This window comes from Homo sapiens, chromosome 12, assembly GCF_000001405.40.
Source record: "Homo sapiens chromosome 12, GRCh38.p14 Primary Assembly".
In the NCBI taxonomy this organism is placed as follows: domain Eukaryota; kingdom Metazoa; phylum Chordata; class Mammalia; order Primates; family Hominidae; genus Homo; species Homo sapiens.
In genome coordinates, this window is record NC_000012.12 from 26,873,469 (window position 1) to 26,891,023 (window position 17,555).

The following is a 17,555-nucleotide window of genomic DNA, read 5'->3' on the forward strand; positions in this document are numbered from 1 at the left end:
AGATTCTTTTGACTTTTGAGTCTCCAAAACTCAAGTCCCCATGGGGAATGGGAAAGATACAGGCGTACGTAAGATTTAGAAGCCTATTTGTTAAGCGAGAGAAAGAAATCTCATGCAAGATTACACAGAGATTTCCCAGCTGTGGGGGAAGGAAGGGGTTAGAAGTCAGGAGCACAGGGATGTGAAGGTGACCACTGAGAAGGGCCCTTCCCTTCCTCCCTCACCCATTCAAGTGTCAGATGAGAAGGGGGGATTACTCAAGCTTCAGACAGGTCTGTGGATTCCCAGATCAAAGAGATAAAGCAAGAATATCCCGGAAGAGAAATGATTTTGAGGTGCATCCAGAGATTAATATTGAGGGGGTGGGCCCCGTGGGAGCTGGAGTGTTGGGGGATTTTTTTGTGACTCTAGTGTTGGCCGTCACAGTGAATGCCCTAGACCGGAAAATGACCAGAGACCAGACTCAAACCCTATACCCCCATGTGCCACTTTTTGTCACTGGGACAAAAATTCTGCATCCTCCAGAAGTTAGGTGCAACCTGGGAAGGGTGGGGGACCTCCCCAAATTGACAGAGGTGCATTTCTGCTACATTGAAGGGATGGAGGCTCAAACAAAAATTAGATTGCGTTATAGGAAAATAAACATAGATTTTTTATACAGTTACATATGTGACCTGGTGTTCATATCACTACAGTTGTACCTGCAGTAGACAGTCCTACTTCAGATAGAATAGTCCAAGGAAGGAACAGTATGTGAGGCTTACAAATGGAAATCCAGAGGAAAAAAGAAACTCATTACGGACAATATGTCCCTTTCGGTTTGTCCCCTGCTTTTAAAGCCATCATATTCACTGAGGTCATCCTATTTGGAGAACCCCAAATTTACCTTTGATTGAAAATGCCTGCACCTTATTCCTGGTGAGTTAATGGGACTTCCCTGCTTATACTCTTCAGAGTCTCTGATCATAAACTTTCACCCTGGGATTTGTTTAGTTTGAAGCAGAAGTTTTTTCGATGAGCGTCATTTATTGGTTGAATCCTTTGCAAGAGTCCTCCTGTCCAACACAAGTTATAGTATGTGTATGGCTCTTCTCTGTGCAGCACACTCCACAGCAGCTCTTTCAGTCTTACTTAATAGTTTCCAGTTCCCCATATATCACCTCTGCAGGAATGACCCAGAGATGACCCTCGCCGAAGAGACAAAAACAAATTGACCACACAGCCAATTTCTTTGAGGAAATGTTGTCACTTGAACCACTAGAGACTCAGCGGCCTAACAACAGCTGTTGTTCCACCTCTTTGACTTATGTTGTCAGGCAAAAGGAGAAAGGGACCAAGGACAAGTTTTGCTGACACAAGCAGGGAAAACCAGTCTCAGAAATGGGGAGTGGATTGGGAGAGGAGTGTGAATAGCGCCAATTCCTAGAAGAAGAATTTCCTATACTATGAGTATAAGTGGAAGACAATTGCACGTAGGACAGACCAGGTTCCACCTCATCTACAATTGGCCAAGGACAGCTATCGCTGCAAGAAATATTATCACCATGCCATAACATGGTCAGAGAAGTTGGGAACACCAAGGCCTAAAATTCCTCATGCAAACTCAAAATTATTTTGGCATGTTAAAGGATCAAAGAAGGTCTGCAACAAATAAACTGACACAACTTGGTTTAAGCCAGAGTTTCCAAGCTTTGAATACAAAACAGTTTCCTGCCTGCTTACTGCTGCCCAGCAAAACAAATTTCACTGCACACCCATTTGGGAACTGCAGATACATACTTTTCCGCTTTCATCCTTCTTTTCTTAAATTTAGTAACTTTCTGATGTTTGGTTTCATTTTTTCATTTTTACCCTCATGTGTTTACTTCAATATAGTTCCTAAAGACTACAAATATTTTTCTAAAGTCAAGAGTTTTTTGGGGGTGTCTGAAAAGGGAATGAAGAGATGTGAAGAGAAGTTGAAGAGCTGAATTCAGTTCAGCAGAAGGCCCAAGAGAAAATAGGCCCAGGTGGAAGAATAGAAGACAGCTGATATGATCCCTGGGCCCAAAGGAGGGAAAGATAGAGGTGTGTGACTTGGGGAAAGGAGAGTCTTAGATGATTTTCTTTTTTTATTTTTTGGTGATGGAGTCTTGCTTCGTCCCCCAGACTGGAATGCAGTGGTGCAATCCCAGCTCACTGCAACCTCCTGGGTTCAAGCAATTCTTGTGCCTCAGCTTCCCAAGTAGCTGGGACTGCAGGTACCTGCCACCACACCCAGCTAGTTTTGTATTTTTAGTAGAGATGGGGTTTCACCTTGTTGGCCAGGCTGGTCTTGAGCTCCTGACCTCAGGTGATCTGCCCGCCTCGGCCTCCCAAAGTGCTGGGATTACAGGCATGAGCCACTGCACTGGCCATGTTAGATGATTTTCTAACTTAGGTTAAGGCAGTCAGGAGCAAATACGTTGTACAGGTGTACCTACTTCTATTGTCACCTCTCTTTATTACACTTCACAGATACTGTGTTTTAAAAAAAATTGAAGGTTTATGGCAAACTCAATCAAGCAAATCTATCTGCACCATTTTTCTGACAGCATGTGCTCACTTTCTATCTCTGTTTGACATTTTAGTAAGTCTCATAATATTTCAAACTAAAAAATATATATTTTTAGAGCTGTCTCACTACATAGCCCAGTCTGGTTTCGAACTCCTGGGCTCAAGCAGCCCTCTTCCCTAGGCCTCCCAGAGTGCTGGGATGACAGGCATGAGCCACTGAACTGGCCCAAACTTTAAAATTATTGTATCTGTTGTGGTGATGTGTGATCAGTGATCTTTGATGGTTACTATTGGAATTGCTTTGTGGTGCCATGAACGAGACCCCTATACGACGGTGAGCTTAATCAGTGAATGTTGTGTGTATTCTGACTGCTCCATTGATCAGCCATTCTCTCATTTCTCTCCCTCTCCTCTAGCTTCCCTGTTTCCTGAGGCATAGCAATATTGACATTAGGCCAATTAATAACCCTACAATGGCCTATCAGTGTTCAAAGGAAAGGAAGAGTCTCAAGTCTCTCACTTTAAATCAAAAGCTAAAAATGATTAAGCTTAGTGAGGAAGGCATGTGGAAAGCTAAGATAGATTTAAAAATAATAATAATAACCCAGGACTCTTGTGCTAGACAGTTAGCCAAGGTGTGAATGCAAAGAATAAGTTCTTGATGGAAATTAAACGTTCTACTCCAGTGAACACACCGATGATAAGAAAGCAATACAGCCGCCTCATTGCTGATATGAAGAAAGTTTTAGTGGTCTGGATAGAAGATCAAACCAACCAACACATTTCCTTAAGCCAAAGCCTAATTCAGGTGAAGGTCTTAATTCTTTTCAATTCTATAAAGGCTGAGAGAGGTGAAGAAGCTGCAGAAGAAAAGTCTGAAGCTGGCAGCTGTTGATTTATGAGGTTTACGGAAAGAAGCTGTCTCCATAACGTAAAAGTGCGAGCTGAAGCAGCAAGTGCTGATGGAGAGGCTGTAGCAATTTATCCAGAAGATCTAGTTAAGCCAGGCACGGTGGCTCACGCCTGTAATCCCAGCACTTTGGGAGGCCGAGGCAGGTGGATCACCTGAGGTCAGGAGTTCCAGACCACCCTGGCCAACATGGCGAAACCCCTTCTCTACTAAAAATACAAAAATTAGCTGGGCATAGTGGCTGGCATCTGTAATTCCAGCTACTCAGGAGGCTGAGGCAGGAGAATCGCTTGAACTTGGTTAGCAGAGGTTGCAGCGAGCCAAGATCGTGCCACTGCACTCCAGCCTGGGCGACAGAGCAAGACCCTGTCTCAAAAAAAAAAAAAAAAAAGTCTAGTTAAGATCATTGTTGGAAGATGGCTACACTAAATAACACATTTTCAATGTAGATTAAACAGCCTTCTATTGGAAGAAGATGCCATCCCGGGACTTTCAGAGCTAGAGAGGAGAAGTCAATGCCTGGCTTCAAAGTTTCAAAGCTTCAAAGGACAGGCAGATTGTCTTGTTAGATGCTAATGCAGCTAGTGACTTTAAATTGAAGCCAATGCTCATTTACCATTTTGAACATGCTAGGGCCCTTAAGAAGTATGCTAAATGTATTCTGCCTGTGATTTCTGAATAATGGAACAAGAAAGCCTGGATAACAGCACATCTTCTGCAGCATGGTTTATGGAATATTTTAAGCCCACTATTGAGACCTACTGCTCAGAAAAAAATAAGATTACTCTCAAAATATTACTGCTTATTGACAATGCACCTGGTCACCCAAGAACTGTGTTGGAGGTGCACAAGCAGATTAATGTTATTTTCTTGCCTGCTGACGCAACATTCACTCTGCGGCCCTTGGATTAAGAAGGCATTTTGAATTTCAAGTCTTATTATTTAAGAAATGCATTTTGTACGGCGATTGCTGCCACAGATAGTGATTTCTCTGATGGATCTGGACAAAGCAAATTGAAATCCTTCTGGAAAGGATTCACCATTCCAGATGCCACTAAGAACATATTTTTTTTTTTTTTTTTTTGAGACAGAGTCTCACTCTGCTGCTCAGGCTGAGTGCAGCAGTATGATCTCAGCTCACTGCAGCCTTTGTTTCCCAGGTTCAAGCGATTCTCCTGCCTCAGTCTCCCAAAAAAAAAAAAAATGCAATCACCTGACTATAGTCAGCCAGGTCCCCCTTCTGGTGATTAGGAAAATTACTTCTGGATGAATCTGCTATGGTACTGATTATGCCCTAAGCAAAATGAATAAGGTAGGGCAAGTTAACCTTCTTTTCTGTTCTATCCCTCCTCCCTCCGGATGCCTAACTCACTCCCACCAATACTAACAGTCACTGGCGCTCAGGGTTCCCACACAGCATCCCACCCACAGACTATGTCCCAGGAGATGGCATTTCATTTTCCTGGAACGCATCAAAACACAGTCTTTAATGTCCCATTCACTAAGACAACTTCTCTTTGTGACCTGTCAATGTGAGGCAAAGAGCCCAGTACTGAAAACTTAGCCCTCTAAAATAATGGAATGTTTTTAACTGAATCAAGATGTTTTTCTCAAAAAGAGGGAATAAGTATAAACATTCCAGGTAGAACTAGTACTGACAAAGACATACTGCACAGAAGAATATCATTGAAGATATCAAACAACTGAAATAAAATTTTCTTTTCACACCAAGCTGTCCTGGGAAGCCTTGTGTCTCCCATTATTCCCTACTTAAAATAGGCTTTCCACTCCCACACCCTCCCTCGCAGCTGCCTCTCAGAAGGGAGTGGTTGCCCAGATCTCCTGATGTGGAGAAAACAATCCCTGGCAAGTGGGCCAGATGGCCAGGGCCCAAGGGGAAGGATGCCAGCTGCAGCTTCTCCAGGCAAGGTGCAGAAGAAGGCTCAGGGCCTGGAGCCGGGCTCCCAATACATAAAATAGAGTCAGGTCAAAGCTCATTTCCTGGCCCAGTCACCATGGAGACAGTTGCTAAAATACTTAACTATCAAACTCCACTTTTGTGCCCAGAGCTCAAGCAAAGAAGCATAGAGAAGCACAGGTGCTGACAAGCAGGAACTACCAAACCGTGAAGTGTCTGTGGGCCAGGGTGCTGGCGCCGTGTGCCACTGACAGAGTCGAGCTTTATTTAACTCTTATTCCTGAGAAAACACCAACACATTCTGGTGCTCGTGCCATTCCTGTTCATTGACAAGCCTGTGTGTTGATGAACTTTTTGGTCCATTAATGTCTGATTCGCTTACGTGGCTGCATTAGAAAAGGGATATGTTCAGAGCTCACAATGAAGATGTCAAATATTCTCTACATAAGGATTTTAATTTTAAAAATAAGACTTTCGTGGCCATGAAAAAATACTAAAATTTGATTTCTTAGTTCCAAATGAAAAATGTTCTTTATTTCCTTTCCCTACTCTTTTCTATGTGTTCTGCATGCCAGGAAAATGTACCAATGTATCATTTATTAAACAACTTCTCTTGATATAATGTGTTTGAAAACCCTCTGAAAGGTTAAAAAAAAGTCAAATAATTATAATTTTCCAACATCATTTCTTGCCACCCTCCCCCATCCTCCAAATCTCCTCTTTTATGTATGGCGGTTCATTTCCAGCATACCATATTATATGTGCTGTTATGATGTGTATTATAATTTTGACTAAAAAGCTCAGTGGACAGCCAGTAATCCTTTCAGTAAAGTAGACACAGAGATGGTTTAGGTAGCAGCATCTACCACCCCTATCCTGGCACTCGCCAAACTCTAACAGAATCGCCTCTTTTCTTGTCTACGTCCTCCACTAGAGGATTATGAGCTGCGCAAGTGGGGAGGGGATTGGTCTCGTCCACTGTTTTATCTCTAACACTCAACACAAAACCAGACCATAGTAGGCACTCAAGAAATTTTGTTTGTTTGGTTGGTTGGTTAGTTTGTTGGTTGGTTTTGAGATGGAGTCATGCTCTGTGGCGCAGGCTGGAGTGCAATGGCGTGATCTCAGCTCACTGCAACATCTGCCTCCCAGATTCGAGCGATTTTCCTGCCTCAGCCTCCTGAGTAGCTGGGATTACAAGCGTGCACCACCACACCCGGCTAATTTTGTATTTTTAGTAGAGACAGGGTTTCTCCATCTTAGTCAGGCTGGTCTCGAGCTCCCGACCTCAGTTGATCCATCCGCCTCTCAGTCTCCCAAAGTGTTGGGATTACAGGCGTGAGCCACTGTACCCGGCCAAGAAGTGTTTATAAAATTGTTGAAAAATCTGCTGTTTGTGGGAGCTTTTACTCAGGCATTCTAAACTGCTTACCGGTGTCTTTTTGGCCAGTATCGTGGATTGCCTACTTGAACAAGACTTGTAGGGGAAGCAGATGGTCTTGTCACTGGCCATGAGCTGCTTACCATATATTGAGAAGCCACATTCACCTAACTGCTTTCCGAGCGATCATGGAAGTTTCTATTAGCAGCCTGCAGTACATCAGAGAAATGATAGCTTTTTTTTTTTTTTTTAACTTTAAGTTCTGGGATACACGTGCTGAACATGCAGGTTTGTTACACAGGTATACATATGCCATGGCAGTTTGTTTGTTGTACCTATCAACCCACCATCTAGGTTTTAAGCCCTGCATACATTAGGCAGTTGTCCTAATGCTCTCCCTCCCTTTTCCCCCCTACCCCCCAACAGGTCCCGGAGTGTGACGTTCCCCTCCCTGTGGCTATGTGTTCTCATTGTTCAACTCACTTATGAGTGAGAACATGCAGTGCTGGGTTTTCTGTTCCTGTGTTAGTTTGCTGCAGATGATGGTTTCCAGCTTCATCCATGTCCCTGCAAAGGACATCAACTCATCCTTTTTTATGGCTGCATAGTATTCCATGGTGTATATGTGCCACATTTTCTTTAAAATGGTAGCATTTTTAAGCTGGAAGAAATCTTGGGTCAATGTGGGCTCCAGGCAGCAGAAGCAGAGCATGGAGTGTGCCTCATTTTGTTGGTTTGCTCCAGGAACTCTCACTACACCAGGCTTCATTGTCCCTAGAGTGGAAGAAAGAGGAAGATAGTCATTTGCCTTTTTCTGAGAACACAGCGTTTATCATCTTGCTATTGCCGTTGAGAGTAGTTTGCTCAAATGAATTTAAAAAGTAAACTATTTTTCAGAAATGTTCTCAGAAAACAGTATCTGTACTGATCTCAAGACAACTGAGCAAGTCAAAAGAAAAAAGGTAAGGCAAGGAGAACTGTTTTCTCTGGGTGTTAGTACAGCACACCTGGCTACACCTATCAGTGGAGTTTACATTATCCTATCTAGTATCAAGTACTCACCACTCCCAGAGTGGATCTCTCACTTAACTCCATATAACTTGTTTATAAACAGTAAGTTACTAGGGGGAGTTTCATCCAAATCTCTTTCAAAACTCACATTTCACATTTCAGTGTCAATGATACAGATCTGGAGTAGTCAATTCTGAAAGCCAGCAAATAATCAGGTTCCAGGTGCCCTGGCAGCCACAAAGACCTAAAGAAAATAGCTAGAACTACAGTCCCTCTACCTTGTAATAGATTCTCCTCTGCTCTCTCTGCTAAACTGAATCCAAATTGGGAGGCTTTCTAGTCACTGGGTTCTTTGTGTCAAAAAAGAAACCCTATTGATAAAAATAATTGCATTCAAGTTGGAATTTTACCAGACTTCTCCATTTTCAGTAGTAATGCAGATTAGATACCCTAAATGACTTTCCCAATAGAAACAAATAAAACGCTGGATAAAAGTATCTTTTTAAACTCTTGAGACAGCAGAAAGCAAGAATACTTAGCTCTCCAAACCCAGCAAAGGCAGGCACCTTAAGAGGTAAGCAAGCTTTGTCCTTGAGACTTCCTGAGTGACCTTGAAGACTGCATCCCTACTTAAATGGCTGCATGGTACACGGGGGACAAGAAACAAAGCCTAAGGTCCCCACAAAAGGGAAGAATCTAAACTGGGGTCCCAAAAGGCTACGTCATCAGTGTAAGAATAAAAGATATAATAATTCCGCTGGGCGTGGTGGCACGTGCCTGTAATCCCAGCTACTCAGGAGGCTGAGGCAGGAGAATCGCTTGAACATGGGGGGTGGAGGTTACAGTGAGCTGAGATCATGCCACTGCACTCCAGCCTGGGCAACGGAGTCAGAACCTGTTTCAAAAACAAAACAAAACAAAACAAACAAAACTTCTGTTGTTAATAAGCCAATTAGTCTATGGTAATTTGTTATAGCAGCCCCAATGTACTAAAACAGTTTCCCTCTTGAAAGCCAAGCAAGCAAGGGTAGTTACTTCTGTTAATTCTCCTGCAATTGCCACCAGGAAGAATGGTTCAATTGACTCATGTTTCTGACACCTATAACCAATACCAGTGATTCTCAACAGGGTGTGGAGAAGAAGGAAGGAACTCCATAGAGGGAAGGACACCCTCTATGGAGACATACCAGAATCACTGGAGCAATTCTTTGAAACTATACATGCTCTCCATGCCTAAGTGCTGAGATTCTGGTAAAAAATCTCCCTTTATTCATTGAGAATCAATGCATATGGAGCCACTGTTACAAAAGAACATGTGTTGGCTGGGCGTGGTGGCTCACACCTGTAATCCCAGCACTTTGGGAGGCTGAGGTGGGTGGATCACGAGGTCAGGAGATCGAGACCGTCCTGGCTAACACAGTGAAGCCCCGTCTCTACTAAAAATACAAAAAAATTAGCTGGGCGTGGTGGCAGGTGCCTGTAGTCCCAGCTACTTGGGAGGCTGAGGCAGGAGAATGGCGTGAACCCGGAAGGTGAAGCTTGCAGTGAGCCGAGATCGTGCCACTGCACTCCAGCCTGGGCGACGGAGCGAGACTCAGTCTCAAAAAAAAAAAGAACATGTGTTATCTCTCAGATATGTTGCTACTGGAAATAGTTGTGAATCACTGCTGTAAGAAGTGCTTTGGAGTTTTCTACTGAGGATTCATGGATGGATATAAACTAGGTCTTGGAAAACACACAGGGTTTGGGTAGACAGAGGGGCTGGATGTCACTGCAGGTGGGATAATTGGTAGAAAGGCAGAAAAATAACATTGAGACATTCACTTTCCCCTGGAGCACAAGTTAATGTAGAGAGAGAAGTCTGGAAGATCAGAGTAGGGTTAAATTGTGGAATGTAAACTCCGTAAGAGCAGGGGCTTTGCCTGTCTTGTTCAGTCCTTTGTGCTCAGCACCTACAACTGTGTCTTGCCCATGATAGGCCCTCATGTGTGTTGAATGAATAAAGTTTGACCGTAAAGTTAAAAATGTAGGTCCTTATCTTCCAGCATGAAGACCATGGAGAATAAGTGATGACAGTAGGAGAGACGGGGGCAGGGTGGAGTAGGGGGAGAGTTCAAGCAAGAGATTAGGATGAAGCAATAGATTGGGAAAGCCAAGGTACAGAGAGAAGGCAAAAGCCAAGCACCAACCTCCTGGGAATGTTTAGAGAGAGGATGGGATGGAAGAAAATCCAGCAAAGATAAGGAAGTGTTGTTCGGGAATATATACAGCAAACATAAAATATCACCCTATAATTTACAAACTCTCCCATATATGCAGCATTGGGTAAGACAGGCATTGTTTCTCCCATTTTGCACACTTCAGAGATATGATGATGATGATGATGATGATGATGATGATGATGATGATGATATAAAAGTAAGACAAAAATCAAGCTGGTCACAGAAACTAGGAGTCAAGAAATGGTAAGAATAAGGGTTAATCTGTCTGGGTCCAATCAGGAGACAGAAACCACTCAGTAATTTGAACAGAAGAAGTTGAATATAAATTGCTAAACTAGGACAGAGGAGTAACTAAAAAAGATGGAAAGAGGACTGGTGGCTGGGCATAGTGGCTCACACCTATAATCCCAGCGTTTTGGGAGGCCAAGGTGGGAGAATCACTTGAGCCCAGGAGTTCAAGACCAGTCTGGGCAACATGGCAAGACCCTGTCTCTACAAAAATTAAAAAATTAGCCAAGTGTGGTGGCTGTGGTCCCAGCTACTCAAGAGGCTGTGGTCGGAGGATCTCTTGGGCCTGGGATCTCCTGGGCCAGCTACTCAGGAGGCTGAGGTGGGAGGATCTCTTGGGCCTGGGATGTGGAGGTTCCAGTGAGCCATGATCACAGTCACTGCATTCAACCCTGGGTGACAGAGTGAGACCCGGTGAAAGAGAAGAAAGGAAGAAAGAAAGAGAGAAAGAAAGAAGAAAGAAAGAAAGAAAGAAAGAAAGAAAGAAAGAAAGAAAGAAAGAAGGAAGGAAGGAAAGAAAGAACGAGAGAGGGAAGGAAGGGGAAAGAGAAAGAGAAAAAGGGAAAGGGAGAAAGAAAGAAAGAGAGAGAGAGAGAAAGAGAGAAAGAAAGGAAGGAAAGAAACTGGAAAGCGTGTCTTAGGGGTAATAGAGAGTACCCAAGGAGGCCGGGCTCAGTGGCTCACGCCTGTAATCCCAGCACTTTGGGAGGCCAAGGCGGGCGGATCACGAGGTCAGGACATCGAGAGTATCCTGGCTAACATGGTGAAACCCCGTCTCTGCTAAAAATACAAAAAATTAGCCGGGCGTGGTGGCGGGCGCCTGTAGTCCCAGCTACTCGGGAGGCTGAGCCAGGAGAATGGCGTGAACCTGGGAGGCGGAGCTTGCAGTGAGCCGAGATGGCGCCACTGCACTCTAGCCTGGGAGACAGAGCAAGACTCCGTCTCAAAAAAAAAAAAGAAAGAAAAAAAGAGAGAAAGAGAGTACCCAAGGAAAGGAAAACCTGGAGGTAAGTCCACCCACACGGGTGAGGTTTAGACTTCATTAGAGAAAGTATGGATGCAGCCCACTTTATGCAGAGAAGTCAGCTGGGCTGCCTGCGCCAGAGCTGGTCCACAGCCACCAGGCAGCAGGAAACAGCCCTCCAGGGCACAGATGAGCCAAGGCCGGTGGGCAGGTGCACAGAGAGAGTTGGGGTGTCACTGCCAACGTGAGGTCTGGAACATGCCAGTGTCCTTGTCAGGAGCGTCATGATGAAGTGGTTCACTAGGCCTGGGCTGGGCTGCATACAAATCACCAAGGGAGCGGAGTGGCTGCAGCGGAGTGCCACTGGATATACCGGTTCACACAACGTGGGCTGAAACCAAGAGCGCCTCTTTCCTCCCGCAGTGTCTCTTTATCGCCCTCTGCTGGCAAGTCTGAAAATTGTGCTCACTACGAGGGACAAATGCTTTTAGCCTATTGATAGAGGATACAGGAGCTAAGAGGAAATAAATTGACAATTGAAACAAGTGGTTATTCGACATTTTCAAGGGTACCTGTGTATCGCTGAGCTTTTTCAGAGCAAGTAACAGAAATCAGCGAAGCTGGACTTGGTGGACTGAGAGAGGGCTAGGAAAGAGTGGACAGAGGAAATAAAGAGAGGTACTGACAGTAGTGATAGTCATCATTGTAGTAATAGTAGTAGTGATGGTGTAGGTTAACATGGCAACATCAGAGCAACCAGAGAGAAAGTGAGAGATTTTGTGCCCCAGCGTCTCCATATAAAATCACAGAAAACAGTAAAAGACTCTGGTGAGCTGAGCCCAGGTCTCCTACTCAAATGGGTCTTTTCCCCTAGCAAGAGATGCTGAGTATTATGATTGAGCAGGCCTGAATCATTTGCTTACTCCTTTGACCAAAGAGATGGGTGACTGATTGGCAGCTATCAGCTCATCATGAGGTAGGAGAGGGAAATTTTCCCAAAGAAAGGCTGTTACTACTGAAAAGGGAACATAGATGAAAAGGTTCTAGGCCAGGTGTGGTGGCTCACACCTGTAATCCCAGCACTTTGGGAGGCCAAGGCAGGTGGATCACCTGAGGTCAGGAGTCCAAGACCAGCCTGACCAATATGGTGAAATGCCATCTCTACTAAAAATACAAAAATTAGCTGGGCGTGGTGGCGTGTGCCTGTAGTCCCAGCTACTCGGGAGGCTAAGACAGGAGAATTGCTTGAACCTGGGAGGCGGTGGTTGCAGTGAGCCGAGATCACACCACTGCACTCCAGCCTGGGCAACAAAGTGAGACTCCATCTCAAAAAAAAAAAAAAAAAAGCTTCTGAAAGGCAGAAACCTCTAATGTCTATCACAGGGTCACAGAGGAAAAATGGGAATAAGGCCAATGCTGAGAAGGCTTTTGTTTGTTGTTGTTTGTTTTACATTTTCAATGTACTATTACATTAATTAATTTGTCCTCTTAAGAGTCAATATTAAACTCCAAGTAGAGCTGGATACAGGAGCAGTGCAAGGCAGACACAAGGTCAAAATGCATCTATGGTTTCTCTTACTCGTTTCATAGTCACCACAGAGCAGTGATGTTGGCAGGTAGTAGGGGTTTTCATTTTAACTCTCCATTAGTTGATGCAAATGATATATGAAAACAAAAGAATTCTAAACTTTAAATATTGCTCCAAAGATAGATAAAATCTATTTCCTCCTCCCAAGAAGTGCTAATTGAGCTCAAATGTTTTTGCTTTTGTTTTTAAACAGTGTAAGGTTCAGTAAAGTGATATCCAGTTACCCAGGCAGAGCTAACTATACTGAGGCAATGGATACTGGTAGGAAAAGCATGGGGGCAGACATCACTGGCACCCATTTGCCCCTGAAATGGATCAGAAGAGTTTCAGCAATACCATACCTTGTGCTGGTGCTGACATCTTTCTTTGTGAATATGCTAGCTGTGACTACCCACTACTCATGTGAAGAGATCCAAGTTCATCATGGTGTGCCAGACACGGTTGCTATTATTGGAAAATTATTCTCTTATCCAATATCTCCCTATGCCTTCCATGGGAAAATAAGTCAGTTTCAGGCAAGCATCTATGTATCTCTAACCTATCTGTTCAGCATTGTGTTCTTATAGATATTAAAATAAATAGAACCCAAATTTTCCAAGTGACTCCCATAATAATTTTTATGTTGGTGTCTCAGAGCATTAACTGAGAAAATAAAAGTATTTTTAAAGGCTCATAAATAATAATTGATTACGGGGAACCCAGTTTGGGAAGAGCAACTTAATACTTTAATAGAATATAGCATTTTTAAGACAGACCTTAATCGTCAGTTATATTAGGTAGTTGTTAGGTTTTGGTAAAAAAAATTTTTAGAGAAATACTTAGCCAAATATTTTAATGAGCCTAATGATATTTTCTGGTTTCTAGTAAAAGTTTGTATTTTTTTTATAAGGACTTTATAAACCTGAGACGAAAAAAGATATCTGTTTCTAGGGATTTAAAAAACAAACAACAGCAACAAAAAAAAACGGGTTTGTGAGGAAACTTGACATTCGTACCTCAGCAGAGGTCTTTAACGCTTAGGTTTTTTTGTTTGTTTTTGTTTTCTTGTTGTTGTTTGTTTGTTTTGAGATGGAGTCTTGCTCTGTCGCCCAGGCTGGAGTGTAGTGGCATGATCTCGGCTCACTGCAACCTCCGCCTCCCGGGTTCAAGCAATTTTCCTGCCTCAGCCTCCTGAGTAGCTGGGATTACAGGCGCATGCCACCACACCCAGCTAATTTTTGTATTTTTAGTAGAGACAGGGTTTCACCATGTTGGTCAGGCTGGTCTCAAACTCCTGACCTTGTGATCTGCCTGCCTCGGCCTCCCAAACTGCTGGGATTAGAGGCGTGAGCCACCATGCCCTGGCTAACTCTTAGTATTAATGCGCTGCCACAGAGACAGAGCAAGCAAGTTTCAAACCTCTTCCTAAAGGCAAGTTCAGACTTTATGTTTCGTGTATACCTGAACAGGTTACCCTAGTTCATGATGTCAAACTGCCAAGATGGCTGGAATATCATTCTCCCACCAAGACCTTGCAAGGACTGCCCTTAGAAGATGAGGGAGGAAATTACCAAATCATGGTGCTTGTATCTGGGGTTCTCTGTTTTCAGCAAACACAAACAGCTTTCATCTTTACCCTTCATGTGCTGGCTGGGAATGAGGTGAGGGGAAGCTTGGTTCCTTCTCCCAATGGGTAAGTACCAGAGTAGCTGTGTGTAGTGCTCAGTTTATGAGTGTAGTCAAAAAGCAAGGATAGGATTTGAAGAAATAAAATCTTGTATTTAAAAAAGAATGAGGAACAGAAGACATAGAGATGTTTTCACAATGTTGCTAAACAATAAAACCTTAAAACAAAGCTTATTACAATAATCCCTTGAATGGGAAAACAACTCCCAAGTAAATGAAAATTGGAGAACTAAGTTTTTATTTCTCATATCATTTTATTTTATACTCATCGACCACGTACTAGCTGAAAACAGTCCTTTCTCTTTTTCTCTTTTGAAAGGCAGCTTCTTGTATACATATTCGTCTATAAAAACATAGAACGTATCTGAATATTCTGGTAACGTAAGTGAAAGAAACTAGGAGATTGGGCAATGAATCTCCTATTTTACCTTTTGAATTTTTATATTGTGTTCATGTATTATCTATTTTTAAAAGGTTAAAAGGCAGTTCTACATAGCCTAACAATTCACATTCAAGTATTTTTATCTTCCTCAAATTATTTTCAAATGTAGACATAACCATGTCATTTACTCTCTCTTTCAACCTAAACTTTGAAGTTTTCTCTCTAGAAAGTTACCTCTATCTTCTAAAAGAATTTTTATGCAAAATTGTGAAAATTATAGATCAGGCCAATAATAACTAACTCCCACACAGCAATTCACAATTTATAAAGTACTTTCATATATGTCATTCCATCTGTTTTCGTTCTTTTGTTCATTGACTCACTCATTCATTCAATAAGAATTTGGTGAGTGCCTAAGCGTCTTATACAAGACTCCTGAGATAGGAGTTGAAGATAATATGAATAAGCTGCTGTCAAGCAACTCATAGTGTAGTATTCCAGTAGGGTACACAGAAATGTAAAATATAAAAATTAAGAAAGGATTTTATTTTTATAAATTTTTGTAACAAATTTTAAATTTTTACTATTCCTTTTTATTTTATTATATTTTATCATTTATAATAACATTTTAAATATTTTTAATAAATTTATTTTATAAATAAAAATTTTAAAAAATATGAAAAATATTTAAAAGTATGACTGCAATAACAGAACCATATATAACATATAGAGACTAAATTAGTAGCTTTAACTAATTTAGTTGTTTTAATTTGGATGGAGGATGTTGGCAAAAACTGGATGAAGTAATGTCCATAATAGATTTCTTTCTTTTTTTTTTGAGAGGGAGCCTAGCTTTGTCACCCAGGCTGGAGTGCAGTAGCGTGATCTCGGCTCACTGCTACCTCCACCTCCCAGGTTCAAGTGATTCTCCTGCCTCAGCCTCCCAAGTAGCTGGGATTACAGGCGCCTGCCACCATGCCCGGCTAATTTGTTTGTATTTTTAGTAGAGACAGGGTTTCACCATGTTGGTCAGGCTTGCCTTGAACTCCTGACCTCAAGCGACCCACCCGCCTTGGCCTCCCAAAGTGCTGGGATTACAGGTGTGAGCCACTGCACCCAGCCCATAATGGATTTCTAAAGTTGAAAAAGTTAGCTAGCCAGAAATGCATTATAGGTTGAAATGACTGCTCATTTCAACCGGGCTGTCCCACCCTCAGAGCCTTTCTGGTCCTGTGAGAATTACTACTTTGGTTTCCATTCAGCAAACCACACTCTTCTAGAGCCGCTGGCTTCCAACGCCAGCTCTGAACTGCAGCCTCACCATGGGCTGTTACTGAAAAGAGCACATTCAATAACTGCAGGGGCCACTGACCAGTACTTGTATCTGAGAGGGGACCCGCTGTTGGTCTAGCTGCAAAAAAGATGAGAGATAAAGAAATGTAACAAAGCAGTGGCTCGTGCCTGTAATCCCAGCACTTTGGGAGGCCAAGGTGGGTGGATCACCTGAGGTCAGGAGTTCAAGACCAGCCTGACCAATATGGTGAAACCCCATCTCTACTAAAATTACAAAAATTAGCTGGGCGTTGTGATGCGTGCCTGTAGTCCCAGCTACTCCAGAGGCTGAGGCAGGAGAATCGCTTGAACCTGGGAGGTGGAGATTGCAGTGAGCCGAGATCGCACCACTTATTGCACTCCAGCCTTGAGACAGAGCCAGACTCTGGAAAAAAAAAAAAAAAAAGGAAATATAACAAGCAAAGCAGAGGGAGAGATAAAGAAAATTGAAAGGAAGGGAAGGATATGGGATATGGAGAAGGAAAGGACAAAAGGAATAATGAAGGGAAGGACAGAGGGAGGAACATGAGGAAAGGAAGGATAGAGAAGGCCAGAGGGAGGGAAAGAGAAGGGAAAGAAAGGAACAGTAAAGGCCCAGGGTAGTGAAAGGCTCATCAGTGTGCCAGCTCACTCGCAAAGTGTCTTACCTCAATTAAGATTCAGAACATCCCTGCAAGTTAAGTGCTATTCCTCTTTTTTATTTGAAGAAACCGAGACTCAGATCAGTTAAATACCTCAAAATAATGTAGCCAGTCTAACCGACAAATTGGAGTTTAAACTTTTAAACTCCAAAACCCACAGCTGTTCCATTGAAATCCCCTACTTTCCCATCTGAAGTTAGAATAACTGGATTTAGATCAGGTGCTTACTCTACGTCTTTGGGTACTTAGCTACTTTGAAACTTAGCTTCTTCAACTATAAACTAAGAAAAATAATAGTTGCCCTCTCTTCCCTCCTAGTTGTTGGATGTAGCAATGAGAGGATGTATGTGAGAATACCACATAAACTCTGAAGGAATACATAAAAATAAGGGATTGCTAGTCAAGCAGTAATCCATGCTGTGTTTTTGTTTTAAATCTTCAGCATTAGGGCCGAAGGAGGTTCAAAGGAATTTTCTGCCATTATAGCTGAAATTACTCTTAAAGCAGCTGCTGAAGCTCTTGGTGTCCAAGAGCGTCTCTTTTTGGTATACACGCTGGCCGACTATTTCCACTTAGATCCTTCTTCAGTGACGATGAGCCCATTCAGAAGCAAGATAAACAAGCATCTGTGGAATCTTCCAGTGATGGCTGAAGATCCTAGGCATGTCATCACTTTACAAGGTGACCTTGTACAATTCCACTGGCCTATGGGATATAA

General features: G+C 42.8%; 4 annotated features.

Moving 5' to 3' along the window:
* Positions 1,058 to 1,227: an enhancer, noted in NCBI's record as "active region_6129". NCBI's record gives its function as "activates an Ori minimal core promoter by ATAC-STARR-seq in GM12878 lymphoblastoid cells {active_cell/tissue: GM12878}" and the evidence as "EXISTENCE:reporter gene assay evidence [ECO:0000049][PMID:35858748]".
* Positions 1,058 to 1,314: a biological region, named in NCBI's record as "MPRA-validated peak1624 silencer".
* Positions 1,114 to 1,314: a silencer, noted in NCBI's record as "peak1624 fragment used in MPRA reporter construct". NCBI's record gives its function as "represses an SCP1 promoter by STARR-seq MPRAs in K562 erythroleukemia cells {active_cell/tissue: K562}" and the evidence as "EXISTENCE:reporter gene assay evidence [ECO:0000049][PMID:32103011]".
* Positions 11,548 to 11,722: a silencer, noted in NCBI's record as "fragment chr12:27037949-27038123 (GRCh37/hg19 assembly coordinates)". NCBI's record gives its function as "represses an EF-1alpha promoter that drives an FKBP-Casp9 reporter gene in an ReSE screen in HepG2 liver carcinoma cells {active_cell/tissue: HepG2}" and the evidence as "EXISTENCE:reporter gene assay evidence [ECO:0000049][PMID:32094911]".